This window comes from Homo sapiens, chromosome 8 (assembly GCF_000001405.40).
Source record: "Homo sapiens chromosome 8, GRCh38.p14 Primary Assembly".
Lineage (NCBI taxonomy): Eukaryota > Metazoa > Chordata > Mammalia > Primates > Hominidae > Homo > Homo sapiens.
Genome location: NC_000008.11, coordinates 103,624,703 through 103,637,762, shown reverse-complemented (window position 1 = coordinate 103,637,762; position 13,060 = coordinate 103,624,703). Strand labels below are relative to the sequence as shown.

The window sequence follows — 13,060 nt, the reverse complement described above, 5'->3', positions numbered from 1 at the left end:
GAATAAATCCTACAGTTATTTAATAGTATTGTACCAATCCTGTTTTCTTTGTTTTGATAAATACACTGTAATTGTGTAAATTGTTGACTGCAGAAACCTAGGTGAACAAGATACAGGAACTCTCTGAACCATCTTTGCAACTCTCCTAAAAATTTAAAATTATTTCAAAATGAAAAGTTAAAACAAAACAAAAAACCTTCCCACAAAAAACTCCAGGCCCACATGGCTTCAATGGTGAATTCTATAAAACATTTTTAAAAATAAGTAATACTTATCTTTCACAAGTACTTATCTTTCATAAAAATCACATTCATTTTCAAAAAATAGAACACATTCCAAATCAGTTTGTGAAGCCAGCATTATTACTCTGATAACAAAACTAGAAAAAGTAAATTCAAGAAAAGAAAGTTACTCATATCCTTAATGAACACAGATGCAAAAATTCTTAACACATTAGTGTGAAATTAAACTGTAAATGAGACTCCAAGCACTCCAGACTAGATGGACTCACCATGACTAATAGAAGAAATACCAAAATTGAGACTACAGAACAAAGTGGCCATGGTGGAGTGAAAGAAGAGTGTTTACTTGCCTTTTGTTCATAGAAAGGCAAATCTGGATAAACATCCTACTTTATGCCCGTAAGCCAGAACAGTTCCTGTGACAAAAGCCAAGAAAAACTGGCAAGAAATGACCCACCACTAGCCCTTTAGAAGAAACATCTCAGAGAGCCTTCTAGTTTGGGTCTTAGGAAGCCACCCAATCAAGGGCTCAACTATCTTGGCCAATCAGAACTAAACAAGCTTGAATCCTTCGTTTGCATAAATAGATCTGATTGAGAACTTGGGTGAGAACTTTCCTTATGTGAGCCAAACATTCCTTTTGTTCTTTAAAGAGCACACTTTCATTTTTCTTGAAGGCTGTGCCTCCCCAAAACGCAGATTGGTATGTGTGTGTGTGTGGGGGGGGGGGGGTGCGGGGGTGGGTTATAGAAAAAAAGCAAGGGAGTGGCCAAGATTGCCAACTAGAAGCAGCTAGTACGCATGGCTCTCAAGGAAAGGAAAGGAAGGGCCAAATAAATAGCAACACCTTCGACGATAACATCCAGGTACTTGCACTGAAATTAATCAGGAAAACAACCTGACCCAAAGAGAATGAAGAAAAGCAAGACAGGACAACGGCCCACCTGGGAGCAACACAGACCCAGGGGATTCTCCCCTGCACAAAGAAGCAGTGAGTGAATGAGTGACCCTTCCCAGGGGAGAAACCATGTTTCTCCCACAGATCTATACAACCTTCAGTTAGGAGATCTCCTTGTGAACCCACTCAACCAGGGCCTTCAGTCTGACAAAAAGAGCTACATGGAGTCTCGGCAGAGCAGCTGCTCTGGCATGCATAGACACCCCAGAGTGATAGATACTTACAATTTCTGACAAAAGTAGCTGCAGTTCCAGCAAACTGGGAGGTTAGACTTCTGTGCACACCCCTAGGAAAGAGACTGACTCCAGGGCACTGAGCAGCAACAGCCCGCAGGCCCCACTTCCACAGCACCTCACAAGATAAAACCCACTGGCTTGAAATTCCAGCCAGCTACCAGTAGCAGCATTGCACCTACCTAAGAAGGAGCTCCCAGGCAGTGGGGCATACCACCATCTTTGCTGTTAAGGCATCTTAGCCGTTCCAGCCTTTACACTTTGGAGAGTGTGAGCTGACCTGGAGTAGAAGGGATCCACCAGCACAGCACAGCTGCCCTACCAAAATGAGGCCAGACTGCTGCTTTAAGGGAGTACCTGATCCTGTTTCTCCTCACTGGGCAAGACCTCCCAACTAAGGCCTCCAACTACCCCCTGCCCAAGCTCTCCAGCCAAAAGAGATCTAAATTCCCCCTAGTACAGTGCTCCTAGAGGAAGGGGTAGGCTGCCATCTTTGCTGTTTGGACAACTTAGCCATTCCAGCCTTTAGGCTTCAGAGTGCGTGACATGACTGGGGGCTGAGGTGGAACCCCAGCACAGCTCAGCTGCTCCGCCAAAATGTGGCCAAACTTCTTTCTTAAGCAGGTACTGATCCTGCTCCTCCTCACTGGGCAGGACCTCCTAACTGGGGTCTCCAGCCACTTCCTGCAGGTGTCTTTGGGACAATAAGGGGTCAGTACCTCCCTGTGACAAAGCTCCCAGAGGGAGGAACAGGCTGTTACCTTCGCTGTTTCACAGCCTTCACTGGTGACACCTCCAGGTTCTGGAAGATCCGAGGTGACTAGGGACTAGAAAGGGCACCAAGCATACTGAAGCAGCCCTATGGAAAAGTGGCCAGAGTGTTATGTCGGTGCCCATTCCCATATCTCCTCACTGGGTGGGTCATCCAGGCCTGGGCCTCCAACCACACCCCACCAGAGCTATGGATCCAGTCAGTACCAACTCAGCAACTCCCTGGACAGAGCCTCCAGGGACAACTGAAAGCCTCTCTGTCTTTTCAGATAAGAAAATGTTAAGAAACTTCCTTACCACCAAACCTGCCTCACAAGACATCTTGAAAGAAGCACTAATATAGAAAAGAAAGACCACTACCACCTAATACAAAAACAAACATAAACACAAAGACCACTGTTACTGTAAAACAAGCCACACAAACAAGCAACATAATAACACACAAACAAGCCAACATAATAACCATACAAACAGGCCAACATAATAATCAACCAACAGCACAATGACAGGATCAAATCCACATATAGCAATACTAACCTTGAATGTAAATGGGCTAAATGCCCCACTTAAACAGCATAGAGTAGCAAGCTGGATAAAAAAGACCCAATGGTATGGTGTCTTCAAGAGGCCCATCTCACACATAATGACACTCATAGGCTCAGAATAAAGGGATGAAGAAAAATCTACCAAGCAAATGAAAAACAGAAAAAAAAAGCAGGGTTGACAATCCTCATTTCAGACAGAACAGATTTCAAGACAACAAAAATCAAAAAAGACAAGGAAGGGAATTACATAACGGTAAAGAGTTCAATTCAACAAGAAGACCTAACTATTGTAAATACGTATGCACCCAACACAGGAGCAACCAGATTCATAAAGCAAGTTCCTAGAGAATTACAGAGACATAGACTATCAAACAATAACAGTGGGAGATTTCAACACTCCACTGACAGAATTAGACAGATCACTGACAAGAAAACTAACAAAGATATTCAGAACCCGAACTCAGCATTGTACCAAATGGATCTGATAAACCTTTACAGAAGTTTTCACTCAAAAACAACAGAATATACATTCTTTTCCTCACTACATGGAACATACTCTAAAATCAACCACATAATTAAACATAAAATAATCCTCAACAAATGTAAAAGAACTGAAATCACACCAAACACACTGTCAGGTCATAGAACAATAAAAATACAAGTCAACACAATGAAAGTCGCTCGAAACAATACAATTACATGGAAATTAAACAAAATGCTCCTGAATGACTTTTGAGTAAATAACGAAATTAAGGCAGAAATCAAGAAGTTCTTTGAAAATAATGAAAACAAAGATACAACTTACCAGAGTCTTTGGGACAAAACTAAGGCAGTGTTAAGAGGGAAATTCACAGCACTAAAAACCTACATCAAAAGTAAGAAAGATCTCAAATTAACAACCTAGCTTCACAACTGAATCAAAATTAGAGAAGCAAGAACAAATCAACCCCAAAGCTAGCAGAAGATGAGAAATAACAAAAATCGGAGCTGAATTGAGGGAAATCAAGACACGAAAAATTATTCAAAAGATCAACAAATCCAGCAGTTGATTTTTTGAAAAAATTAATAGGCCACTAACTAGACTAATAAAGAAAAGAGAACATCCAAATAAAAACAATTAGAAATGATGAAGGGAATGTTACTACTGATGCCACAGAAATAGGAACAACCATCAGAAACTACTACAAAAACCTCTACGCACACAAACAAAATAACTCAGAAGAGATGGATAAATTCCTGGACACATACACCCTTCCAAGACAGAGCCAGGAAGAAACTGATTCCCCGAATGGACCAATAATGAGCTCCAAAATTGAGTCAGTAATAAATAGCCTGAAAATCAAAAAATGCCCAAGACCTGATGGATTCACAGTGAAATTCTACTAGATGTCCAAAGACATAGTACCATTCCTACAGAAACTATATGAAATAACTGAGGGGGGAAGACACCTCCCAATTCATTTTGTGAGGCCAGCATCATCTTGATACCAAAACCTGGAAGAGACAAGAGAAAAAGAAAACTTCAGGCCAAAATTGTTGATGAACATGATATAAAAATCAGCAAAATACTTGCAAACTGAATCCAGCAGCACAACAAAAAGCTAATCCACCATGATCAAGTAGGCTTCATCCCCAGGATGCAAGTTTGGTTCAACACATAAAAATCAGGATGGGCATGGTGGCTCACACCTGTAATCCCAGCACTTTGGGAAATCGAGGCAGGTGGATCATCTGAGGTCAGGAGTTTGAGACCAGCCTGGCCAACATGGTGAAAACCCATCTATACTAAAAATACAAAAAAATACAAAAAAAAAAAAAAAATAGCCGGGCGTGGTGGCACATGCCTGTAGTCCCGGCTACTCAGGAGGCTGAGGCAGGAGAATTGCCTGAACTCAGGAGATGGAGGTTGCAGTGAGCCGAGATTGCACCACTGCACTCCAGCCTGGGTGACACAGCAAGACTCCATCTCAAAAAAAAAAAAGGCCTGGCGCGGAGGCTCACACCTGTAATCCTAGCACTTTGGGAGGCCAAGGTGGGCGGATCACAGGGTCAGGAGATAGAGATCATCCTGGTTAACATAGTGAAACCCCATCTCTACTAAAAATACAAAAAATTAGCCCGGCATGGTGGCGGGTGCCTGTAGTCCCAGCTACTCGGAAGGCTGAGGCAGGAGAATGGCGTGAACCCAGGAGGCGGAGCTTGCAGTGAGCCGAGATTGCGCCACTCCAGCCTGGGCTACAGAGCGATACTCCATCTCAAAAAAAAAAAAAAAAAAAAAAAAATCAATAAATATGGCCGGGCGCAGTGGCTCATGCCTACAATCCCAGCACTCTGGGAGGCCAAGGTGGGCAGGTCACCTGAGGTCAGGAGTTCCAGACCAGCCTGGCCAACATAGTAAAAACCTGTCTCTACCAAAAATACAAAAATTAGCTGGGCATGGTGGCAGGTGCCTGTAAGCCCAGCTACTCAGGAGGCTGAGGCAGGAGAATCGCTTGAACCCGGGTGGCAGAGGCTGCAGTGAGCCGAGATCACACCACCTCACTCCATCCTGGGCGAAAGAGCAAGACTCCGCCTCAAAAAAGCAATCAATAAATATGATTCATCACATAAGCTGAACTGAAGACAAAAAAACACATGATTATCTCAATAGAGGTAGAAAAGGCTTTTGATAAAATTCAACATTCTTTCATGTTAAAAACTCTACTAGGAAATGAAGGAGCACACCTTAAAATAATAAGAGTCATCTATGACAAACCCACAGCCAACATTATACTGAATGAGCAAAAGCTGGAAGCATTCCCCTTGAAAACTGACACAAGACAAGGATGCCCTCTCTCACTACTCCTATTGAACACAGTACTGCAAGTCCTAGCTACAGAAATCAGGCAAGAGAAAGAAATAAAATGCATATAAATAGAAGAAGATGAGGTCAAACTATCTCCATTTGCCAACTATATTATTCCACACCTAGAAAACCCCATAGTCTCTACACAAAAGCTCAGATCTAGCAAACAACTTCAGCAAAGTTTTAGGACACCAAATCAACATACAAAAGTCAACAGTATTTTTATACACCAACAATGTCCAAGCTGAGAGCCAAGTCAAGAACAGTTTAATTCAGAGCAGCCACAAACAGAATAAAATACCTAAGAATACAGCTAACCAGGAAGGTAAAAGGTCTCTACAAGGAGAATTACAAAACACTGCTCAACGAAATCAGAGAAGACAAAAACAAGTGTAAAATCATCCCATGTTCATGGATAGGAAGAATCAGTATCATTAAAATGCCCATACTACCCAAAGCAATCTAGATTCAGTGCTATTTTTATCAAACTACTAATGACATTCTTCACAGAACTAGAACAATCTATTTTAAAATTCACATGGAACCAAAAAAGAGGCCAAATAGCCAAGGCAATCCTAGGTGAAGAGAAAAAAGCCAGTGGCATCACATTACCTGACTTTGAACTATACTACAAGGCTACAGTGACCAAACAGCTCGGTACTGGTACAAAAACTAGCACATAGACCAATGAAACAGAATAGTGAGCCCAGAAATAAGGCTGCACATCTACAGCCATCTGATCTTCAACAAAACGTACAAAAATAAGCAATGTGGAAAAGAATCTCTACGCAATAAATGATACTGGGTTAACTGGCTAGCCATAAGCAGAAGATTGAAGCAGGACCCCTTCCTTACCCCTTCCTTACACTGTATACAACAATCAACTCAAGATGGATTAAAGACTTAAATATAAAACCCAAAATTATAAAAACCCTGGAAGAAAACCGAGGCAATACCATCCTGGACATAGGAACAGGCAAAGATTTCATGGCAAAGACACCAAAGGAATTGCAACAAAAGCAAAAATTGACAAATGGGATCTAATTAAACTTAACAGTTTCTGCACAGCAAAAGAAACTATCAACAGAGTAAACAGACAACCTACAGAATGGGAGAAAATATTTGTGAACTATGCATCTGACAAAGATCTAATATCCAACATCTACAAGTAACTTAACCAAATTTACAAGAGAAAAACAGGCAAGCCCATTAAAAAGTGGGCAGAGAACATGAACAGACACTTCTCAAAAGAAGACATATGTGCAGCCAACAAGCATATTAAAATAAAAAAAATAGCTCAATTCACTGCTCATTAGAATGATATTTTGGGCTGTGTTCCACCTGTTCTCACTGTTTTTCTTTTTTTGGTTCCTTTTTTCCTGTTCTTTTGTGGGTTACTGCAGCATATTTTAATATTCTAGTATTTCATTTTATTTTATCTATACTGTTTTTGGCACATCTCTTTTCATAGTTTTCTAGGAATATGTGTGTGTGTTTGTGTGTGTGTGACTTATCATAGTCTTTCAACATCTTACTACTGTAAGTAGCATGTAGACATCTTTGTTTCTTTTTTTTTTTTTTTTTTTTTGAGATGGAGTTTTGCTCTTGTTGCCCAGGCTAGAGTGCAATGGGACGATCTCGGCTCATTGCAACCTTTGCCTCCCTGGTTCTAGTGATTCTCCTATTATTTCCTATCTATCTGTTTCTAAAACTGCCTTTATTCATTCTTTTAGAGTAAGCCTGTGGTGACAAATGTTCTTAGATTTCCTTCATCTGAGAATGCTTTGCATTTCACCTTAACTCTTGAAGGATATTTTTGCTAGATTTAAGATTTTGAATTTATAGTACTTTTGTTACAGCATTTCAAAAAATGTAACCATTTACTTCCAGTCTTTATGGGTTTTGATGAGAAATCTGCTATCATTCAAAAAAATCTGCTATTGTTCTTCTAGTCAAACTATTATTACTCCTATGTTAGGCATCATTTCTTTCTAGCTGCTTTCAAGATTTTTTTTTTTTTTTTGTCTTCAGTTTTCAGAAATTTGATTATGATGTGTCTCAGCCTGAATTTCTTTTGGTTTGGCCTGATATTGGTTCACTCAGTTTCTTGAATCTGTATGTTTATGACTTTCCCCCAATTTGTGAAGCTTTTGCTCATATTTCTTAAAATTTTTTTTTTAGTTTTGTACTGTTCTTTTTTTCTGGGACTCTGAGGACACATATGTTAGGTATTTTACTCCCCCTCTCCCTGCCTTCCTTTGTACTGCCAGAGTATCCAAGATGGTTCATTTGTTAATTTGTTTTTTCTGTTCATCAGATTTTAAAATTGGTATTACTCAGGTTTCAAGTTTATAGTTTATTTCCTATTTCATCTTGTCCTGCTATTGAGCTCATCTAGTGTGGTTTTTGTTTTGGTTATTGCATTTTTTACTTCTAAAGTGATAGCCTTTTAATGATAACTGCTTTAAAATATTTGGAATTAATCATCATCTATATCATCTTAGTGTTGGCATATGTTAATTGTATTTTTTCATTGGAATTGAAATTTTCCTAGTTCTCAATATGACAAGTAGTTTTAAATGGTATCCTGTACCTTTTACATATTATTTTATGACACCCTTCTTCCTATTTTTTTACTTCCTGTTAGGTTGCATATACATTTCTTAGCTTATTTTTGTGGGCTGCAGTTCAAATGTCAGTTTAGTTCTCAAAGCCTTTCCAACATGCTTCTGGTCTGCCCCACTTATGTGTTATCCCGAAGTCAATCTAAAATCCGGGAGTTATTCTATACCACTGCTGAGTTCTTAAAGCGTTTGCTGTTTTGATTTTGGTCAGCTTCATGCATTGTCTGTTCAGGGATCTGTCCAGGACTTCATATGCAGATTATAAAAATTCTTCCCTCTAACCCTCTCAGTAATCCTCCTTCAGCTCTCTAATTGAGAGGATATGGTATTCTGGCTCATTATTGCATCATGGGGATGGAGGAGAGGGTCTATCCACAATCTGTTGGCTGCAGCACCCAGTTGAGTCAGGTGCAGGGTAGGGGCAAAGGGGTACTATCTCATTACTGAAGGGCAAGGATGCAATATAGTTTCTGCTGAGAGCCTGCATCTGGGAACAGGGGCCTCTCTCACTATTGCAGGGCAAGGATAAAAGGGCTCTTACCACAATTCCCACAGGTATGGAGAGGTTGCTGCTTTGTTTTTCAGGCTGTGGTTGGTGGACAGACCTCTGCTCACAATCTGGGTAGCTGCAGTGCTCCATGGGGAGGGGAAGGAGTCTATCTCTTTTCATGCTATTTTCCTGGAGCAGGCAAGTATAATCAAAATGTTTTTGTTCTGTTGGCTGTCCTTTTTCTGGTCCTTTAGCTAGAGACAGCAGGCTTTCCTTGGGACCTTTTTTTTTTTTTTTTTTAATATGGGTCTGTTGATGTTTCTCGGTTGTGGGTTTCTTTAGTGCCCATGTTGGGGTATAGAGAGGGCAAAACAAAAAACCCCAAGGGCCAGCCACAGTGGCTCACACCTGTAATCACAGTACTTTGGGAGTCCAAGCCATGGGACGCCAAGGTGGGCAGATCACCTGAGGTCAGGAGTTCGAGACCAGCCTGACCAACATGGAGAAACCCCGTCTCTTCTAAAAATACAAAATTAGCCAGCCATGGTGGCACATGCCTGTAATCCCAGCTACTCAGGAGGCTAAGGCAGGAAAATTGCCTGAAACCGGGAGGCGGAGGTTGTGGTGAGCTGAGATCGTGCCATTGTACTCCAGGCCTGGGCAACAGGAGTGAAATTCTGATTCAAAAAAAAAAAAAAAACAGGGATCTCACTCCCACTCACTCCCAGGGGTTTTCTCTTGAAGTTCCTATCCAGTCCACTTTATTTTCTTTCTCTTGTAAGGTCTTCTATTAGTTGCTTTTTGAATTTTGTCTAGAGTTTTAAAATTGTAATTAGTAGAGAAAATAAAGTGGAGTGTGCATACCCAACTTGTCTGGAACCAGCCATAGTTTCTTTTTTGTTCTCTTAATGTTTTGTTTCCTCACCTGTTTATTTTCCCCAATGCCTTATATAAAGTACCTAATTTGCTAATATTATAATGATTATACAAAATTAATTATAGGTAACTCTTGATTGTGAAATTGTCTGAGGTCTAGATAGCATGCATGCAGTTGTTCAGTAACTCTGGAGAGCCTGAATCCATGAAGAGAGTTGTAAATTCACCACCCAGTTACATAAAGGAGCAGGCGCATTTAGGTTTTGAAAGGCACTAGATTAACATAAATTAAAAGCACCCAAAGTATGCTTCATCTAAATTTAAAGCATGAAGAAAGGTATAAATGATTATTTTTTCTACACCAAATAAAATGATCTTAACTGATTACTACTTTGGGTTGACAATCATTATGTTATAACATGTTAAGTCAGTAGTTCTCCATTGTAAAACTGATCCCTCTTTTTACTTTCTTGATGAACTCTTAAAGGACATCTGTTGTGGGAAGTCAGGGACCCTGAATGGAGGGACCGGCTGGAGCCGAGGCAGAAGAACATAAATTGTGAAGATTTCATGGACATTTATCAGTTCCCCAAATTAATACTTTTATAATTTCTTATGCCTGTCTTTACTGCAGTCTCTGAACATAAATTGTGAAGATTTCATGGACATTTATCACTTCCCCAATCAATACTCTTATAATTTCTTATGCCTGTCTTTAATCTCTTAATCACGTTATGTTCATAAACTGAAAACGTACATCACCTCAGGACCACTATTGTACAAATGGATTGTAAAACATGTGTGTTTGAACAATATGAAATCAGTGCACCCTGAAAAAGAACAGAATAACAGTGATTTTCAGGGAACAAGGGAAGATAACCAGAAAGTCTGACTGCCTGCGGGGTCGGGCAGAATAAAGCCATATTTTTCTTCTTGCAGGGAGCCTATAAACGGATGTGCAAGTAGGAGACATATTGCTGAATTCTTTTCCCAGCAAGGAATATTAATAATTGAAACCCTGGGGAAGGAATGCATTCCTGGGGTAGGTCTATAGATGGCCGCTCTGGGAGTGTCTGTCTTATGCAGTTGAGATAAGGACTGAAATACACCCTGGTCTCCTGCAGTACCCTCAGGCTTAGTAGGATTGGGAAATTCCAGCCTGGTAAATTCTAGTCAGACTGTTTGTCTGCTCTAAAACCCTGTTTCCTGTTAAGATGTTTATCAAGACAATGCATGCACAGCGGGACATAGACCCTCATCAGTAATTCTAATTTTGCCTTGCCTTGGGATCTTTATTGCCCTTTGAAGCATGTGATCCTTGTGACCTACTTCCTGTTTGTACACCCCCCCTCCCCTTTTAAAATCCCTAATAAAAAACTTGCTGGTTTTGCGGCTCAAGGTCGCCATCATGGTCCTACCAATATGTGATGACACCCCCGGAGGCCCAGCTGTAAAATTTCTCTCTTTGTACTCTTTCTCTTTATTTCTCAGACCAGCTGACATTTAGGGAAAATAGAAAGAACCTACGTGGAAATATTGGGGGCTGGTTCCCCCGATAGACATCAATATTTTTTATGGTATTAGATCAATATATGCATTACTGGAAAACATTCAGTTGTGTCACTTTTATGTGCAACAGCTGTTTGGAATAATTTTAACTTGTTTGTAGTTTTTTATGTTGTGTGCTACATTACATTATTGTAATAATTGTTTGCTGTTCATATTTTTGCAGTTAGTCTGGAATATTTTGTTATTATTATTATTACATTTTTCTTTCTTGACTGCTGCTAGTATATTGCTTCTTCAATGACTGCCCTATTCATTTTTTATACACATCAAACAAAAACTGGCAGTAGAGAGTGATTGTAATTAGTTGGTAACAGAAGAGGTTGACAGCTTTGTAACCATGCTTTATTAAGAATTGAATATCTTCAATCTATGAATCAAAACTCAGGTTTTCAACATTCAACAATTCTGTTAATACAAATATCTGAATGAAACATTCTCATGACAGTTAACATATATATTTAAATTAAACTGTATCCCTATGTTTCAGATAATGTACCATCTAAAGTGGTAAAATATAAAGAAATTTATAATTCACTTATGCACTTACAACATTTATCACATACTTATTATGTGACAGGTATTGTGTTAGGTCTTGAAGTCATAAAGATGAATGAAACATGTTTCCTATTCTCAAGGAGTTCATACCCTATTGAGAAAAGATAAATATATGAACAATTTACTAGTGTGTGTATATATATAATATATACACACATACACATAATAAATGTATGTCTACATTTTATATATATTATATAATGTATTCATGTATGTATACAACTATCTATCATAAAAGCAGAATAATGTTACAAAGCCAGCAGGAATACAAACTATTTAGTTCATTGATGTAAATTATAAGTATGTCAGACCTGCCTGCATTCAATAAATTTCTGTTAAATGTTTGCTGAATTAACATAATTTTCACTCACTTTGCTTTTTTTCATCATTGTACCCTTTATCACTGTGATCTCGAGATGTCATTCAAACTATTCAAGCTTTGGTTCATACTATGTTAAACGGTCTTTATCATTAGAAATAATTCTCCCTTTATATGTTGTTGTGAGGACTAAACAAATTAATACATGGGAAAGCATTTTGTAAACTTTAAGTTACTGCGTTAGGTAATGTAAAGAATCCTATCCTTGATTTTATGCTATTGTATGAATAAAAAGACAAAAGCTAAATGTTCTATTATTAAATCCATTTTTTATTTCTGCCTTCTTAGTGCTCTGTTCTAGAATGTAGCTCTTCAACCAGAATGTGAACTCATTGTGGGCAGGATACTTTAAGTCTTAGTATCTACCTTATTCAGTACTCCTTAAGTGCCTCAACTTTGTGCCTGATATAGTAGGTGCTTAAAAAATGTTATTGATGGACAATTTTGTTTGTGCACATGTACCCTAGAACTTAAAGTATAATAAAAAAAAAAAGGTTGCATTATACTGCAAAATAAACAAACACCCCTGCCCCAGCCCTTTACATATCCAACCTCCTTCCCCCTAAAAACACTGTATGAGTTAGTAGCAGGATGAACAAGAAAGACAGCCAGTTGAAGTAAGAAACAAAACTTAATTAGATTAAAGAATCTGACAGGATATAAACTGATTCTATTTAAAAAGTAAAAATGCTGTTTTTACATATTTCCTTTATTTCCTTTACCCTTCCATATTCTTCTGCCAAAAAGGGGCTTAGTATTTTCTGTGCACCATTTTATTTATTTTTGTGTGTATGTATGTATGTATCTGTAAATATTCATTGGTTAAAATCAGAAAATACAGATATGTATAAAGATGAAAACCACTCGTAAGACTTATCTTTTAAATTGAGGATAATAAGAATCCCTACCATATAGAGGTAAGAGGATTAAATGAATTAATATTTGTAAATACTTAGAATAGTGCCTGATATAC

The 13,060-nt window shown here is 38.8% G+C and overlaps 1 protein-coding gene across 47 annotated transcripts in view, besides 1 other annotated feature; it reads right to left on the bottom strand.

The window, feature by feature from the left end:
- The window catches only part of RIMS2 (regulating synaptic membrane exocytosis 2), a 755,485-nt gene that overhangs the window by 618,332 nt on the left and 124,093 nt on the right, over positions 1 to 13,060 (bottom strand). The window lies entirely within an intron of this gene.
- Positions 10,556 to 11,092: an enhancer, noted in NCBI's record as "OCT4-NANOG hESC enhancer chr8:104638899-104639435 (GRCh37/hg19 assembly coordinates)". NCBI's record gives its function as "activates a minimal SCP1, AML or CMV promoter by ChIP-STARR-seq in primed H9 embryonic stem cells {active_cell/tissue: H9 hESC(primed)}" and the evidence as "EXISTENCE:reporter gene assay evidence [ECO:0000049][PMID:30033119]".